At 37.9% G+C, this 19,703-nt stretch overlaps 1 long non-coding RNA gene across 1 annotated transcript; it reads left to right on the top strand.

Annotated features, from left to right (window-relative positions):
- The first annotated feature begins 7,299 nt into the window (after positions 1–7,299).
- Positions 7,300–19,082, top strand: LOC124904360 (uncharacterized). The gene is made up of 2 exons (XR_007066473.1): positions 7,300–14,264; positions 18,236–19,082. It is a non-coding gene; the product is annotated as an uncharacterized LOC124904360 (long non-coding RNA).
- The last annotated feature ends 621 nt before the right edge of the window (positions 19,083–19,703 follow it).

Genomic DNA, 19,703 nt, shown 5'->3' with positions numbered 1-19,703 from the left:
TATCTTTTCAGACAACAATGTTATGAAACTAGAAATCAATAACAGAAGGAGACTAAAAATTCACAGCTATATGGAAATTAAGCAATATGCTGCTGAATAATCGGAAGAAATGAAAAGGTAAGTAAAAAGTATCTTGAGATAAACAAAAGTGGAAAGACAACATACCAAAACTTACAAGATACAACCAAAGCTTTTCTAAGAAGGAAGTTTAAAGTGATAAATGCCAACATTAATAACAAATGAAGATCTCATATAAACAATTTTACACCTCAAGAAACTAGAAAAAGAATAAACTAAGCCCAATGTCAGCAGAGTGACGGCAATTATAAAGATGAAAGTAGAAAGAAATGAAATAGAGACTAGAAAGACAATAGAAAGCACGAATGAAACTCAAACTTGGTTTTTTGAAAAGATAAATAAAAATTGACAAGGCTTTAGCTAGATTAACTATGAAAAAACAGAGAAAACTCAAATAAATAAAATTATAAATGAAATAAGAGGCACTGCCACTGATACCACAGAAATACAAAGGACCAAAACAGATTACTATGAACAATTATATGCCAACAGAGGGGATAACGTAGAAGAAATGAATAAATTCCCAGAAATACACAATCTATCAAGACTCAATCATGAAGAAATAGAAAACCTGAACAGGCCAATAATGAATAAGGGGATTGAATTAAAGAAATGACCTCCCAACAAAGAGAAGTACAGGACAAGATGGATTCATGGGTGAACTCTCAGGCATTAATTCCAATCCTCCTCAAACTGTTCAAAAAATTGAAGAGGAAGGAAAGCTCTCAAACTCACTTTATGAGGCCAACATTAGCCTCATACCAAAAACAGATAGAGACATTACACTACAAGAATAGAAAATGATAGGCCAATAACTCTGATAAACACAGATGAAAAAGTCCTTGATAAAATATTAGCAAATCAAATGTAACAGAACATTAAAAATATTATATGTCATGATCAAATGAGATTTATTGCTGGGTTGCAAGGATGGTTCAACATACACAAATCAATAAGAGTGTGAAGAAGAAATCACATAATCATCTTCATAGGTGCAGAAAAAGCATTCGACAGAATTCAACACCTTTTATGATAAAAACTCTCAACAAATTAGGTGTAGAGAGACTGTACACATTTAGCATCATACTGAATGATTGATTAAATGCTGAAATCTTTTCCTCTACGATCAGGAACAACAAAAGGGTGTTCACTCTCAACATTTTTGTCCCACAGAGCAATTAGGTGTGATGCACGGAAATAACAGGCATCCAAATCAGAAAGGACCAAGTTAAGTTGTCTATCTAGATGATATGATCTTGTATATAGAAAACCTTATGAATCCAACAAAATACTATTAGAGCTAATATACAAATTTAGTATAGTTGTGGAACACAAAATTAACTTATAAAAATTAGTAGCATATATATATATTTATATATGTTAATAGTGAAATTCTCAAGAAGATCAAGGAAACAATCATACTTTTAATAGCTACAAAAATAATATACCTAGGAATAAATTTAACAAAGGAAGTGAATGATTTATTCACTGAAAACCGTACAATTCTGATTCAAGAAATGGAAGAGGACATAAAAAATGGAAAGGTATTCCAAGTTTATCAACTAGAAGAATTAATATTGTTAAAATGTCCATACTATCCAAGGTAATCTACAGAGTCAGAGAAATAGAAAATAAAAATATAAAATTTATATGAATCCACAAAAGACCTAAATAGCCAAAGTGAGATGGGAGAGTTCCCTTGACCCCTTCCTGGGACTCACAAAGGGAGTGATTCCTTTACTAAGCTGCCGTGCTCAATCCCTTACAGGAGGGAGCACATGAGTGGGCAAGTGTGGGAACCAAAGTGAATGAATGCTGGAACTAGTCAGTTGCTCCTCTCTGGTAGGAGCAGGCCCTGTGTGGACCCATGGCAGCATCCAAGCACGTTACAATGCTTTTTTTAGCTCTGCTCTCTGGGAGTGGGTGCTGGAAACACCTGGAGCCCCAGAGGACGTGCTACCAGCTCAGTGGGCCTTTTGCCTTGTGGTGTGGAGTGGCTGCCCTCCACCAGCGAGGGCAAAAGGCCAGTGTGACAGCCTTTTTGGGTTCCTGCACCCAGTGCATCCCTAATTCTTGTTCAGTGCCCAAGAGGAATGAGGTCACATGGACTTGAAGGACAATTAATGTGGAGATTTTATTGAATGGTGGAAGTGGCTTTCAGCAGGATGGGGAGATGGAAAGTGGATGGGGTGGGAAGGCAGTCTTCCCCTGGAGTTCGGCTGTCCTGGGCCGATCTCCTCTCGGACCATCCCTGGGCAAGCTCCTCTTTGAGCAGTTTCTGATGTCCAGCTGCTTCTTCTCTCAACGTTCTGACACTTCTGTCTTCTGTGTGTGTGTGTCCTGAGTCTGGAGTCTGGGGTTCTTATGGGCACAGGATAGGGGGCGTGGTGGGCCAAAAGGCAACATTCAGGCAGGAAAACAGGGAGGTGAAGTTCTCATTTAGGGCCATGGGTCCAGGCCTGAGGGTGGAACCTTTGCCAGGGACCCCACCCTTTTCTACCTAGTATTTCCCTGCCTCTTCTCTGTATCAAAAGCAACCTTGAGGAAAAATACAAAACAAAAAGCAAACCCCCCCAAAAAAACTAGAGGCTTCACACTACCTGATTTCAAAACATAATACAAAGTTATGGTAACCAAAACTGCATGGTTTTGTCATAAAAACAGACACATAGACCAATGAAAATAAATAGAGAGCCCAGAAATAAATCCATGCATCTATAGCCAATTGATTTTTGACAAAGGCTACAAGAACACAGTTGGAGAAAGGAGAATGTCTTCAGTACATGGTGGTGCTGGGAAATTTAGATATCCATATGCAGAAGAATGAAACTGGATTCCTATTTCACTATATGCGAAAATCAACTAAAAATGAATTAAAGATAAATGTAAGACCTGAAACTACAAAACTACTAAAAGAAAATACAGAGAATATGAGGATATGCTTCATGACATTGGCCTGGGCAGGAATTTTTTTGTATAAGACCTCAAAAGCATAGGTAACAAAAGCAAAAATAAACAAATGGGATTACATCAAACTAAAAACTTCTGCACAGCAAAGGAAACATTCAATAAAATGAAAAGGCAATTTATAGAATGAGAGAAACTATTTGTAATCCATATATCTGATAAGAGGTTAATGTCCAAAATACATAAGTAACTATGCAACTCAATAGTAAAAGGAATAGATAAAGGACCTGAATAGACATTTTTCAAGAGACATATAAATGAACAATGGGTATATGAAAAGGGGCTCAACGTCACTAATCGTCAGTGAGATGCAAGTAAAAAAACCCACAATCATATATCACTTCACCCCTGTTAAGAAAGCTATTATCAAAAATTGAAGACATAACAAGTGTTAGAAAGGGTGTGGAGAAAAAGGAACTCTTGTGCACTGTTGATGGGAATGTAAATTGGTACAGCTCTTAGAGAATAGATAGCATGGTGGTTCCTCAAAAAAACTGAAAATAGAACTGTCAGGTGACCCAGCAATCTCACTTCTGGGCGTATACCCAATATGGCAATGACATCAGCACTTTGAAGAGATATCTGCATCCACTTGTTCAAGGCAGCATTATTCACAATATCCAATATATGAAAGCAACCTAAATTTCTATTGATAGCTGAATGGGTAATCAAAATGTGGTATAGACATATACACAATTGAATATTACTTGGCCATTAAAAGAAGGGAATTCTGCCTTTTTCAACAGCATGGATGAACCTGGAGGACATTATACTAAGTGAAATAACCCAGACACAGAAAGACAAATACCCTATGATCTCACTTATATGTGGAACCTAGAAAAGTTGAACTCACAGAAGCAGAGTGGAACAGTGGTCACCAGGAGCTGAGGTGGTGGGGGAGGGAAATGGAGAAATGCTGGTCAAAGGTACAAATGGTCAGTTACAAAATGAGTAAATTCCGGAGATCTCAGGTACAATTTTGTGGCAACTTGAGTAATAATGCTCAACTGTATACTTGAAATTTGCTTACAGACTAGCTCTTAAGGATTCTTACTGCAAAAACAAAAGGCAACTATGTGAGGTGATCATGGTAATGAACTTGATTGTACTAATTATTTCACAATGTACATGTATATCAAATCATCACATCTTATTCCATAAATATGTACAATTTTTATCAATTACACCTTGATAAAGCCAGAAAAAAAATTCTGTTGCTTCACCATGCATGTTGCATATGTGTGCACACACACAAACATAGAGACTTCTTTTTTTCCCTAAAAGGGTTATTTTATTTTAGACTTATTAAAAGAATGAAAGCATGGGTTTGAAAGAGCTAAATCTACAAACAGGAATAAATTGTGTGTGATTCATTAACCATAACAAGTATATACACACAGACACACACACCACACACACACACACACATACACACAGGCTTAGAAGTGCTGAAGAGGTGTGAGCACATTCTGGATCTTGGGCTAACTGCCTTTTTATGTCTTTCCAGGATGTCAGGGATTCTTGATGCAGGGTGACTGCTAACTCTTCCTGAAGGTTTCCCTGTTTTATCCTGAGTGTGTGTCTGACCTACACTGTCTTCTTCACCATACTCAGAAACATGTTAGTCCCAGCCACTTTCTGGAATTAGAACATGGGATTTGAGGTCAAGCAGGTGTGGGTTCAAATTGCCTCTGTCAGTTACCAATGGCAGGATATTCACCTAACATTTCAAAATCACAATAGCGTGGATAAAAAATGCCAACCTCACAGGACCAATTTGGGAGTTATGTATAAACACAAAGACACATGTGCATATACACATATTCACATGTGCACATTCAAGGCACGTACACATGTGCACATACACATATACATACACATACACACTCATGCACACACATATACACACACATACATATGACAGAAGGAGAACCTGACACACGGTATTCCTGTGAGAGGACAAACTTAGCGTTGCATCATGCAATAAGAGTAATTGAACAACACCCTGATTACATGTGGTACAAATTCTAATTTTCTAATTTGTTGTCCTTTTACTTATGATAACTGCTTTGCATACTCGAGATGAATCGTTTAAAGCTGATGTGAGTGAGCATATCCAACAACAATCCTAGCGCCTGCTGTGGATCAGGTGAGCATGTTAACGAAGCTAGTGAAGTGAGGTAGATTAGAATACTGCTCACTTTAAAACTGTGCTCTGCAGGATTGCCAGGTGTAGTGGATGAAGAGAGATTTAGAATAACTGCATGACATGAAACACAAAAGTGCCTGCAGGACTTTCTCACTAACCCTTTCATAGTCTGCATATGTGTATCATACAAACTTTGAAACCCTATCAGAACGAACAATAAATGTGATTAATAATTTTCCTTATTAACGCTTTAGGAAATTAGGGTAAGCAATATTTCCACATAATTTTTAAACCTAAAAAATAAAGAAAAAACATTTTAAATGAGAGTTTAAAGTGCTCAGCCCATGGGCTGAGTGTTTGGGGTGTCATCTACCATGTTCTTGATGTACCTGGGTCCTGACCATCTACCAGCACCATGGACTTGGCTACCTCCTCAGCTCCCTGACCCATCTCTGGGTCTGACATCTCTTCTTTGTCCTTCCAGAAGGATTTAAGAGGAGATTAGGGGCCTTGGGTTAGGGATCTAATGTCAGGTCTACACCGAAGGCAGTTTCTGCTCTTATCTTGAGCCCTTATTGTAGTATTTGGGCCACATGTTCTTAAAATGTACCATCTCTTTCAGCAGCTGTGCTCCAGTTGAATGTACCTGTGCAGATCCCTCTTGGAAACATGCCCCATGCCTTCGTTCTGCAGTAACTTGCTCTTCTCAGCTCTATTTTTGGAGGCCTCAGGGCACTGATTTTGAATCTGGGCACCTCTGAATTGTCACTTCTGACCAACAAGCAGTCTACTTTGTCAACACCTTTTCTTCTGGGACTTGTGTTGCCTGCCTGCTGGAATTTTTCTCATCTAGTCCTGCCTTCCACACTCCCCCCATTAGAGATGAACTCTTCCTGCGGGGCTGTTTGGCTCCTGGCTGGTCCGCTGGGGCTGTCCCTCAGACTCTGACCTCCCTCGGGCACCGACTTCATGAAAACACAGCCCTATCTGAGGGGCACCTGCCCATGAAGCTGCTCTTCCTAAGCTTTGCAGTACCTGCCACATTGTCTCCCCACTGCTAATCATATTCTCTCTGCTATGGTTGTTTAACATTTTCTTCACATTTATAAGCAATTTTGCGTTACAGAATCAAAAGACCTTCACATTATGTCTTATTCCCACCACGAAATTTTAGGTTCTCTAAATTGTGAGTACTCCTTATGATACTCCACATGATAAATATATGTGAAATACATTTTTAGAAATATAAATATGGAATTGTATGCACACACATAGATCTTTTGGGAACTGGCTCATTGGTCATACCAATTTTGGAAAATAATTAATAAAAATGTAAAGCCAATGAAAACGTCAATTCATTTGGAAGATTTCTAATGATCCTCAAAATATGAAGTTAAACTCTCATATCATAACTACATTAAATACCAGGAAGAAACCTATTTTGAGACACAGAAATGTTGAGAAGCTCTGAGAAAAAGCAGCCATTATTCTCATTTAAATTAGAAATTTGTTCCTTCGCTTTTTTGTTCTGCCTCCAGATCCAGTCCTTGCCTGGGGTTTGAAAGCTTTGCATGTATTGAAGCCTTGGCCAGCACAGACAAATGTTCCTCTTCCCTTTCTAAAAATGGTCTTGGTGTTGCAGAAGTTGTTACAATTAGAATGAAGTCACTTGTGTTAAAAAAAAAAAACCCTGATGAACAGAGGTGAGAAAGGCCATAAAGAGGGGTTCTCATGCATTAATGCCTGATAAAAACTATCACAAAAGACTCTGCAGAAACCACAACTTTGCACAAAGGCCATCTCAACTTTACACAAAAAATAGTTCTGTTTGGGTATCTTCCCAGCGATTTCCTCTCCAACCCTAGACTGGTGTCACTCTTGTTATTCATCCTTGTAGCTAACGATAATAATCTCAGTGTATTAGTCCATTTTCATACTGCTGATAAACATATACCCAAGACTGGGTAATTTACAAAAGGAAGAAGTTTAATTGGACTCACAGTTCCACGTAGCTGGGGAGGCCTCACAATCATAGCTGAAGGCAAGGAGGAGCAAGTCACATCTTACATGGATGGTGACAGGCAAAGAGAGCTTGTGCAGAGAAACTTCTGTTTTTAAAACCATCACATCTCATGACACCCATTCACTATCATGAGAACATTGCAAGAAAGACCTCCCCACATAATTCAATCACCTCCCACCAGGTTCCTCTCACGAGATGTGGGGATTGTGGGAGTTAAAATTCAAGATGAGACTTGGGTGGGGCCACAGCCAAACCATATCACTCAGAAGCAGTTATATAGCCTCTTTCCTGTTTCCCTTAAAAACTGTCATTTTCCTTTACTTCCCTGAATATGCACTTAGCTTACTATGGCACACATATTTCCATTGAAATGCCTCATTCCCAAATAACTGTCATTGTCTTTTAGAGACCCCCCTCTCTGTTTATTATTTACATTGATAAAAATTGTGTCCAGAAGTCAGACCTGAAGAAAGATCACTTGTGAAAGAAATTGGCAGTTCTGGGACCTGGTGTACAGTACTCACTTCGGTCCTTAGAGCTCTCTGCTTCCATGGCCTCACCTTCTCTGTCCTGGTGAGTCTTTTCTCAGGTTAGGCCTCCCTATTTTTGGTAGAGGCTGATTAGCTTCACTTTTTGTTTTGTTATAAGGCCAACTGAGTCAAGGACCTTGCATTCCTCTTGGGATGATGAAAGCCTTTTTTTTTTTTTTTTTTCTGGAAAGCCCTTACTGTATAAGGACAAGTGTCTGTTCATCTGAGTACCCTGCTTTTTACAGAATTTATGTTCTGTTTGTGAAGAATGTCTTTTCTGGTGAATTCACTTTTGTTTCTGTGTGCCTAATTTAGTATTTTGTTTGATCTGCATGCCTGGGTTAACATTTTTGTGATCACTCTTATCTTGGTTTCATTTTGGTTTGGTTCTGCGTGTCTGCAAGTGATTTGGGTCTCTTCCCATGCTGATTTCTGAAAATCTTCTTAGAGAAAAAAATAAACATTCTAAATGATGGCTGCAAGATGGTTAATTAAAATCCATTCGAGCAGTCCCCAGCATCTAAAACACTCATCCAAACTCCCGACATTCTTTCATAGGAGTGATAGAATTTTCTTTGCTTTGAAGAGATTAAAAAGAAATAAAATGGGAATTTCAAACATTTAGACATATCAGATTTTCTGAGTCTCCAGCCAGCTACATGGCTTTTCCTCATGCATGTTTTTTGATCAATGGCAATCATTGGGATCATTTGAACTTCCCAAGCTTGTTTTCTTCTTTGCACCAAATTAAGAGAATACAATGGTAGAGTCAACACATAGAGGCTTCTAAATCCTCTAGCACTCTGCTTCTTTTCCTACCTACTTTGAACCTGTTGACTTTTCTGCTGATGTCGCCATAAAACTCTCTGTTATGGCATTCCAGGTAAGATTAAAAAAAAAGTCTTAAAGACTTTAAAATTAATGCTTTTACAAATTACAACAGCCTCATGGCAACCAACCATCTAAACGTCTTTTAGAAATGCAAATTTAGGTTTGCCTGACTAACAATTGCTTAAGCTTATGGAATAGTTAATTCAAGTATTACTAGTCTTAAACTAGGTAAATGTTTATAGAAATGGGGCTCTCAGATCAAACAGGTCAAAATTTTGAGCTAAGCACAATAATAAAAGGTAGCTCTCTCATGCATAAAAATTGCTTTGTTTGCCATGTGGGGGCCAGAAAAAATGACCAATATGGTGAAACCCCATCTCTACTAAAAATACAAAAATTAGCTGGGCGTGGTGGTGTGTGCCTGTAGTCCCAGCTACTTGGGAGGCTGAGACAGGAGAATTGCTTGAACTGGAGAGGCTGAGGTTGCAGTGGGCCGAGTTCGTGCCACTGCATTCCAGCCTGGGTGACAGAGCGAGACTCCACTTCAAAAAACAAAACAAAACAAAACAACAAACAAACAAACAAAAAACCCCTGCCAACATGCCTCTCCACCTACATTGATTACTCTCAATTGGTAATCAGACCAGCAGACAAATTGTGGATTCATTACTAATTCAAGGCTGCTTAGAGATTTTGTTTTTTCTTATACAATTCAGCCGATCCTGGCTAAAATGTAAACTTAGAATTTAACGTTAAACCCATTTAAAGCTAAAAAAAGAAAACAAACAAAACGGGGCAAAAGAAGTTTTTGTAAACCAACTTACTTTCCCCAAAACATTGGTCCACAGCCTTCATTAGGATACGTATTGGGGCAAATAACCATTTGAACAAGGGAGCTATTTGAACAAGGCTTATTTTTTCCAAAATACAATTTTGATCCAGCAGTCTTTTATAAACTGGTGAGTTTGTATTACTATCTCATGACCAAAATTCTAAAATGAAATTTATAAGATTGCATTTGTGTGTGGATATATGTTTAGGTCTATTTACACATATGTACATCGAATTTTGTTATATATTGTGTCTATATTATAAAATCTGATGTAGTTAGCCAGAAATCCCTTAATTTTATTCAAATTGGCAAAGATAAATGAGCACTCATATAAAATATATAATAATAAAGAAGCTGTTTTTTAAATTAGTAAAATAAAGTTGTCAGCATACATTTTTGCCTGCGTTTACTGGTTGGACAGTTTTATATTTGTATCTTCAAGATGTTTCAAGGTCAGAAAATGATAAACCCAGCCTAAAAAGCAGAATAATCTTTGTTTGTGTAACTCTTTGATATGTAAACTTAATTTAATATTGTAGTTTAATAAAAACAGCTGTATCTGCTGAGTTATTAACAACATATTCTTATATTTAAGTCTTCTGCTTACATGAACACCTAATATTCACAGGCTATAAAAATGCTTAACAGGGAAATAATTTGAAATAATGGTTAGCTTTATCTAATAGCTCAGTTTTTATAAGTAATCTGGGTAAATTGTTAAAAATAAATTAGGTAAATATAAATGGAATAAATACAGATAAAATTTTTATGTAATTTTAAATACTAAGGTTATGCTGTGTTAAAATGATAACTTATTAAATGTCTGGGTCATTTTGAAATAAGATAAAAACTGAAATTACTGAACATAAATGTTCTTTGCTTCTAAAAATTTATAGATATATATATTTGGGTCTATTAATACATGTAAAAATTATGTTATGGAAGATGATGTTTCTCAAAATTATTAACAGATTCTCATCTATAAAACACTAGTATGTGACAGACAGTTCAAAATTTCTTGCTTCCTAGATTTTCACTAAAAATCAAGATTACTAAGAGTTAAAATTCTTGTTAATATATGTAATTATGTATACAAAGTGTGCCAAAAAAGTAAGATGTGTTTTGATGAGAAAAATTTTAAAAAGACATAAAAATGTGTTTTTTGTTTTTTGTTTTTTTTTTTTTTTGAGATGGAATGTCCCTCTGTCACCCAGGCTGCAGTGCAATGTTGCGATCTTGGCTCACTGCAACCTCTGCCTCCCAGGTTCCAGCGATTCTTCTGCCTCAGCCTCCCAAGTAGCTGGGACTACAGGTGTGCACCACCATGCCCAACTAATTTTTGTATTCTTAGTAGAGACGAGGTTTCACCATATTGGCCAGGCTGGTCTCGAACTCCTGACCTCATGATCTGCCTGCCTCAGCCTCCCAAAGTGCTGAGATTACAGGCGTGCCACCGTGCCCAGCCAAAAATGTGTTCCTTATTGAGAATTTTTTTTTTTCTAATTTGGAGGTTATTTAAAGGTTGTTTCAAAAATTAAAATTAGAAAATAGAAACAATATAAAAAGGAATGAGTGAAGGAGGGGGTTATAAGAAAGTCATGGTTATTATAAAGATATATATTTGTTAAGAAAGTTTAAAGAGAAAAGAGAAAATTTTGTCTGGAAAATAATCTTGTGTAGTAAATGTTTGTCCTAAAGTAAAATGACTGGTTATTTTTTGAGAAAGAGGAAGACAAAACAAAGCAGAAAGCCTAAGCATCATGTCAAGGCTTTGTGCAGGTCACAAAAGGTTTGTGAAGGATGAATTGATAAAAAAAGTTATGTCCTCAAGTTGCTATATTTAGAAGGGAATTATTTATAAATCTTTCTAAACATTGATCTTTGATATTGAAAATATAGTAATACAAAACTAAAAATTTGGCTCCCTCAATAAGAACAACAAGATTTTCTTAAAATATTGGTTTCAGTACAATTAAAAGTCAAAAGTTCTTTAGTCTAAAGAGGTTTTGATTTTTAATTCTCTGCAGCTGTGTTTCTGTTTTATAGTCACTAATTTCCTTAGTTTCAGATTAGAAATGCTGTCTTTTTCATTTAAACTTGTAATTTCATTTCTCAAGGTAGAGTTTTCCTCTTAAAACTTCTCAGATTCGTATTTCAGAAGTTCAATGTTTGCTGTATCTCATCACCTGTAATTTGCAGGTTATACAACTGTAGTGGTTAATAATGAGTGTCTACTTGATTGGATTGAAGGATGCAAGGTATTGTTCCTGGGTGTGTCTGTATGGTGTAGATGGCGTTGCCAAAGATTAGCATTTGAGTAAGTGGGCTGAGAGAGGTGGACCCACTCTCAATCTGGGTGGGCCCCATCTAATCAGCTGGCAGTGTGGAATGAGGAGACTTGCTGAGTGTTCTGGCCTTCATCTTTCTCCTGTGCTGGATGCTTCCTGCCCTCAAACATGAGACTCCAAGTTCTTCAGCTTTTGGACACTTGGACTTACACTGGTGATTTGCCAGGGGCTCTTAGACCTTGGGCCACAGACTGAAGGCTGCACTATTAGCTTTTCTACTTTTGAGGTTTGGGGACTCAGACTGGGTTCCTTGCTCCTCAGCTTGCAGATGGCCTATTGTGGGACTTCACCTAGTGATCATGTGAGTCAATTCTCCTAATAAACTCTCTGTCCTATGTACATACATCCTATTAGTTCTGTTCCTTCAGAGAACTCTGACTAATAGAACATCATTCATTGCCTTCTGCTCTTCCTGTATTTCCTCTTGAGAAGGACTGGAATGATAACTCTCTCCTTTAACTTTTTTCTCTTCTAACTCTGCTGTGATGGTCTGATGCTACAATGTTTACACTGAAGGCCTAGAAAAGCAATCTTTTTATCCAGTATAACTTGAGTGTGTACTTGGCTTTTCTCATTGCCTCTGAATTGTTCCATGTAACCGGGAAACGTCCCATGCTGTTACTAAAAGCCATGCATTCTCCTGCTCAGAGTACTAGTTTTCCTCTAGAATGGGGCACACTCATAACCTTGGATGCTCTCTTCCTGTGTCTGATTAAATCCAAGTAGTGTTTTCATCAGGTTCAACTTTCAGCTTATTGAAAGAGGCTTCCCATATGGAAAAGCAATCACATTATGAAGGCTTCTCTCTCCCTTTTTGGAAACTGGCCTAAGAAACAAATATTTTATGTTTTAGCAAGATAATTTTCTGTGTTGTTTTTATTAGGTATTCGATTACTTAGGAACATTGAGCTTTAAAAGGCTAAGGTTTTTACATCCATTTAACCTTCTGTATTACTTTTTGAAGTCTCTTATCACTCTGGCTAAATGAATGACTGTGATTTCACAGTGATTTGTGATCCTATTTTGATCAAGTGTTTTAACCTTTTTTCATCTTTGACAGGCTTCTCCAATATCAAAATTCTAAATTAAGTCTTTGTGACCTAAAATTAACTTTGAGGTTTTCCTACTGGATCCCTGGGTGGTCTCAAAGAATATAGCTCTCATCTTATAGAGATATGAAATGATAAGGCTTATCTGGTAAATTGTATAGAAAAATATTGTCAAATGATAAGTGATACTATGTCTTCTTTCAGTTACATTTATCATATGTTATTGATATGAATGTTTGAAATTGTATATAATTCATATAAATCTCATATATCATCAGTCATAATTCTGACTATCTTATATGCCACAAAATAACCATATTTTATTGTTAATTAGTGATGATAATGAACTTCCATCAGATTCCTAACCATGGTTACTGTAAGACTCTGTCTTCCACAGTTTTGATTTTCTCTAAAGGCATCTGCGATCGGTTTCATGGAAAAGACACCAACAAGCACTTTTAAATACAAGTCTCTAATAATTTAAAGATCAATGGGCTAAATTAAACATTTTAAATATGCTAATGAATAAACTAATAAATTCATAAAACTGCTAATGAAAATCAAGTGGAACAAAAATGTATCGTATGAGATTAAATAACTGATGAAGATTATTGTTTTTATGAATTTTATTTGATGCATTATTGGTTCTTTACTTAAATGTTTTATTTTTCAGATGTAAGAAAATGTTTTTTCTTAAGCTAATCTATAGCTAACAATAATTTGGTAAAAAATACTTTTGTTAACAAAGGTGGAAAGCATTTGCTATTTCTCCCTACATCATTTCTCAAAATTCAAAAACTATTTGTATTTTTTATAACACTATAGTTATTTGCATAAGTTCTATAAAAAGTCCTCTATTTATAGCAGGATACAATTAAAAACATTGATTATATTATCAATGCTTTGACTGGAATGACATATTTGAGAATGTGCATAGAATGCCTGGTTTCAAGTTCTCCCAGTCTTAGAGTGGTGAGTAAAATTGTCAATTCTCGGCAGCACCAGAAATCTTAAAACTGTAGATGAAATCTAAAGTCGGCCTCGATTTGGCTTCACCAGGTCTTAAAATCTGAGACTCCTATGTGATTAATGTGGAAAGAAAAAGTTACATTTCTAAAAAAATGCTCTAGTACACCCATTATCAGATTGTAGCTCTGTGCACTGTTTTTGAGTTCTGGTTATCTACTTACAGACTAACTTAGATCTCTGAGTTCTAGATTCCTCCAACTTCCTTCCATGGAATTACTAAAAAAAGGAACTTCTGTGTTCCTAAAGCACTATAAGCTGAAACTAGATGAAGTTTTTATGAGCAAGTGCCTGATGTATGAGCTGCACAGAAAGTTCACCAAACCACCCAAAGCCATTGCCATAGGCATCTGAACTGCAAGCCAGCACAAGAAGTCGATGCTTTCATACACTTTCCAAGATGTCAGAACAAGGTTCCAAATCATAATAAGGTACTCACCCCTCTTAATTTCTACTCTTTTCACTGGAAAGAATAATGGTTTTCTGATTTGTTCAATTGTTTGCCTTTAAGACTAGGTTCAATGGCTCAAAACCATTAGGCAAACTGGAATTATCATATTGCTATTAATTGTATTTTGTGTTTTCCCCTTTTAAACTTTGTATCTGTTACTTGTTACATTTTTATTTTTTGTAGAAGTACAACTCCTAACAGAATAATGCTGACCTGGTACTTTGAGATGATAGCAAAAGACTATAGAATAGACAAAAGTGAACTAATAATGGATTCCAGGTAGACTTGTCCCGAGAGCCCTTCCCTTTAAAGATCCTTTGTTGCTTGAATGCAGCTCAAACAGCTTTGACACTGACTCTTAGCCACCACTTACTCCCAACACAAGACCAGACCAGCAACCAGGACAAGGGACATTCAAAGCCTATCACTGATTGATCATCGGTGCTTCTGGAGAGAGATCATGATCGAAAGGAGGAAATGTGAAAGTTGCCAGAATTGAAAGAGATCACTTGTGTTGAAAAAATCCCTGACCAGTGGAGCTGGGGAAGGCCATGAAGGGAGGATTCTCATGCATAAATGCCTGATAACAAAACTATCACCAAAGACTCTGCAAAAACCACATCCTTGCTCAAAGGCCGTCCCCAAAATCATACAAAAAATACTTCTGTGAGGACATTGGCCCAGCAGCTTCCTGTCCAATCCCAGAAAGGTTCTGTCCTTGTTATTGATCCTCATAGCTGAGGATAATTATCTCAACACATATAATCCTCCTCATTTTTCCTTTAGAAACCTTTGTCTTCCTTTACCTCCCTGAATATACACACAGCTTACTATGGCACTTGTATTTCCATTACAATGCCCTAATTTCAAGTAAATGTGGATTTTTAGAGATCCTTTGTCTATTGTTATTTAGATTGACAGTATTACATACATGCACGCAGAGACATACACATGCATACACACACATGAATGCACACATGCACACACACAGACACACATCATGGAAACACACATGCATGGTGTTCCATGCACACATATGTGCATGTATGCATGCACAAGCACATTAATTCAGATGACAAGATCTTTTGAAAAAAGAAGCAGCCTGTGTTATAAGAAGGATTTGACTTTAATTTTCAATCCCGATCCGTACTACTTCTTATAATAGATGCAGAAAACTATGCCATGCACACACGAAATGAGTTTGAATAAAACCCACTATTCTTATGATGGTAACAGCTACTATTCACGGAGCCCTAACCCTGGGCTCTATTCTAGGAGCCTTAACGTCCTTCAGCTGCACATATTTGAGCGCAGGACGTGGGACCGTGCCAATGGATGGTTAATGAGGGAACAAGACTGACTTGGTCTCTTCTTAATGGAGCTCATGGTAACTAGGAGATGTTGCCCGGAAGGCATCACACCAGCTCCGTAATGTGCAGAGGAGGACCTGAAACGCGGGAAGAAGGGCCTTTGCTGGTGACCACACAGCTATGAGGTGCTACACCAGGGATTCAAACTGAGGTCTGTTTGCCTCAAGTCCCCAGTCTTCTCATTATGCAAAACTACTTTTCAATCTGAGCGAAGGTGGAGGTGCATTAGTTGCTAAGCCCTAATGTTCTTGTTGTACCTCCCACACCAGTTGTGATTTCCAGCACATGCTGAGCTATGTGCTTGGTCCTGGGCAGTGCATATGTGACTACTCCCCTTAGATCAGAGCCCCCTTTTTTTCCTCAGCACTATTAACACATCATCTGCAGAAAATTTATATGTTCCATCTGTTTTCACTTCAGATTCTTTCTCAAAATCTGTTTTCACTTCAGTTTCTTCCTCAGTTTTAATACCTTCATCCTTTTTAATGGAACCTCCAGATATCTTTCCCAGATGACTGGTCACAGTGAAACACCACTACCCATTCTCTTTTTCATCATTAAACACTCACAGGGAAAAGTGGCTGTTTAGATGAGGATCCTGAAACTGACTTTATCAGCTTACAAATGAGCTTAGGGGAGTCTGGGTGTGGGCGTGAATATAGACCAATGGAAGCAACTACAGAAACTTTGCCCGGAAAAGTAGTGACTCAGAGGAAAAGGGCCAGTTTGCACCCATTTGTTGGACACTGAAGAGCCTCTGACTCGTAGAACAATCTTCACTAAGTTTTGAAGGAAATGCTCTAATAATTGATTGACCGGGTCCTTCATGGCGGTATCACAGCCTCAAATAGCAACTGTAGCACAGGCTCCAGAGCCTGGCTGCCAGGGTGCAGAGTACCTGTCTGCTCTGTAGAGGCTGAATGACCTGAGATAAATTACTTCCTATTGCTTTGGTTTACTCATATCTAAAAAGGGGGTCAGAGTAGCTACCTTATAAGAGTTTGGGAGGAATAGATAAGTTCATCCCTGAAGACAGATCAGACAGTGCCTGGCATCCAGTGGGATTCAATGCACGTTCTCAGGAGCAATAATTGTTCTTCTATTGTGAGGAGGTCCAGTAGAATAGTGGAGGGTAGAGGGATGGAGGGTAGAGGGAAGGAGGGTGTGCTGGGCTGATGGCATGTAACACCCTTGCAACTCCACATCTGTGGGTCTGTGAAACGGTGTGTGAAATTCATGCCATTCTCCTCATCAGTGAGTTTATTACTGTGTGTGTAATGCGGCATGGATTAACATAGACTGAAGGAAATGCAATCCTTGGCCTTCAAAAACTTCCAATTTTATGTCAGCAGTTTCAGAAACACTTTAGCCAACCAATTTAGCTTATAATGTTGTATCTTTCTGTATACAGGACAGGATAAGAGGAAAAATGTTAAATTATTTCCCACTGCCTTTTTTTTTGCTGCCCCCATCCCCTGTAATCTGATAAGCTGATGTGTGGGATAAAATCATGCTCTCTCTGCCTGGATTTCCCATCGTCACCCCATGCGTTTGCACCAGAGTACACTACAGAGCTAATGACTTAAGCCACTGCCAACACCCCTTCATTTGTCCATTCCTTCTCCAAGGATACTACAAAAAGGCCAAACATGCATTTGCAAATGTTTCTAACACCAAACCCAGACCACAGAGGAATAGTTTTGTAAAATTATGCACTCAATTCTTTGGCTTGAATTTAAAGTCTATCTGTCAGCTCAGTCTGGATGTATGAGTGATTTATTTAAGCCTGCAAGACGCAGGGCTTAGAGAGGAGGGTGGCTGATCAAGTCCTTAGAACATTTACTAGGAAGTCACACTTAGGCCAATGTGAGCACAGAATATATTTTCTTCATGAAACGCTCGTTAGTCACAGCTACAACAATAGTTACTATGTATTGAGTGCTGCTCTATGGCAAATGCTTACATTCATTATCTCACTGCATCCTTACCACAATCTAGGGAGATCGTGTTATTTTCTCAGTTTTGTAATCGATAAAGGTGAAGTTCAAAAATGTTAAATGGCTTTCCCCAAATCAAAGATCTACTGAGTGTCAGAACTGGGATAGGTGGCATGTTCAATCGCTATTCAATAATTCAATCATTATTTCTGAAGGAAGAATAAGCAACAGAAAGGCCAGGTCTGTACGACTTTAAGCCTTAGCTGTTAATCATTCATTTTGATTTTTTATATACTGCAAGTACTCTGAAGAAGTGACGGCCAACACGTTTCCTCCAAAGAAATCTGGGTAAAGGCATGCTAAGTTCCAAACTCATCGTATTTCAAATAGTTTACGTCTACCTCTTGCAATTACAGAAAATAACCAAATTCAGGCAACGGAGACAAAAGTTACTGAGATTTTATAATGTCTCTGGATTGCACTAAGTTGTCCTATTTACCAAAGTGGTTTCATTGCATCATTCCTCTTGAAGATAATCAAATATGATATTCTGTATTAATTTATGCCATGGAGCTTAAGTGGTCATTGGCCAACTAGAGATACACTTATTTATTTATTTATTTATTTGGCTAAAATCTCTCTAGAATTCACTCCTTACCTAGAAGTAAAAAAAGAGGACACACTTTTGAACCGCTCACATGACCACACCATTCTGCGGGGACGTCCTTGTGTTGAGGGGAGGTCTGAAGTCCATGGAAGAAGACGCAGTGGCTGCTGGAGCTCGTGCAGAGGAAGGGACCCTCAGAAGGACAGGTGAACTGTCGGTGGCAGGAAAAATGGTGGGCACATTTCCAGAATGACAAATGGGAGAAGCAATCGTGACATCTCCAGGTGGGGGAAGCATAGGAGGAAGAGGTTGTTCTCTCAGGAAGTTGCCTCCTAGCCTCCAACGAGGCCTTTCCTATCACTGCTCATTCTCTTCTGTGTGTGGATTGGATACTGCGGTCACCCAGAGAAGCTGGTGCACACCAGGCACATGAAGGGGCGATCCTTGTCTCCTTCCGACTCATGCGCGTGTCTTGATGTTTAAACTCAGAAGGATGTTTAAACTCGGTTGTCTATGAGACAAAATGGCTAGTTTTTGGAGGGTCTGGGGCATTACATTCTGCAGATTAAGATTTTTGCCCGATATTGGCCAAGTCAAGGAAATAGATGCTAAGGCCAAATGCTTTGAAAAACCACAAACTCCTGTTTCTGTGGGAAATGTTTGGCCTGTTGAATCAAACTCAATAAAGAACAGTAAAATCTGTTATTTCAAAAATTTTTGCTTTTGTAGCTGGTTAGTTGCCTTTCTTTGGAAAACCCTGTACAATTCCTACATGAAATGTATTCCTATTGGAAAGAGGTTTTGCCACAATGAATTTCAAACTCTATACAACAAATTGGTTTATTCTACAGGAATTTCAATAAAAAAGGTTTTTTTGTCCCTTCGAAAGCTATAAGTGTGACTCTGTAAAACATAAATATCTCTAAATATTTAGAGTAGATTTTAAATAAAATCATTGCACACAATGAATGTACTTTTTCCCCCTAACTCTTAGGAACAATGCTTTTTACATCTTTTTCCCAGCTCTCATTTTAGTTCATAACTCAAGACCTGAGGCTTTTCCTAACTCTCGTGAACCCAGTGCTTTTCACAGCTTTTTGCCTGCCTCAAACAAAGCACTGGCCATTCCAACAAAGCTTCCGTCAGCCTGGAATGTCTTTTCCCTCAGCCGGGCACTAGGTACGGGTTCTTCATAATCGATAAAGGGCTGCAATAATTCAAATTGTGTTCCCTAATTATTAGATCAATTATATCCAATTTGCCTGATGAAAGCGTATGTTGTAAGAGAAATGACTATATTCAGGCAAAGGCAGAAGGCTGACACTTCAACATTTTTAACTTTCTTAACATTTTAAACCTCAGCCCAGACATCTTACTAATAAATTTTTACTGTTGCCTTTTGATACACCTGTAAATCTAGAAAAATCATATGACCTTACACAGAAAATGAAACACCCATTTACAACAGGAGCGTAAAAGTTTAAATCACTTTTGTCTATTCCTAC

Source organism: Homo sapiens, chromosome 18, assembly GCF_000001405.40.
Source record: "Homo sapiens chromosome 18, GRCh38.p14 Primary Assembly".
NCBI lineage: Eukaryota > Metazoa > Chordata > Mammalia > Primates > Hominidae > Homo > Homo sapiens.
Note: the sequence above shows the minus strand (reverse complement) of the source record. Positions and strands in the feature narration are given on the sequence as shown.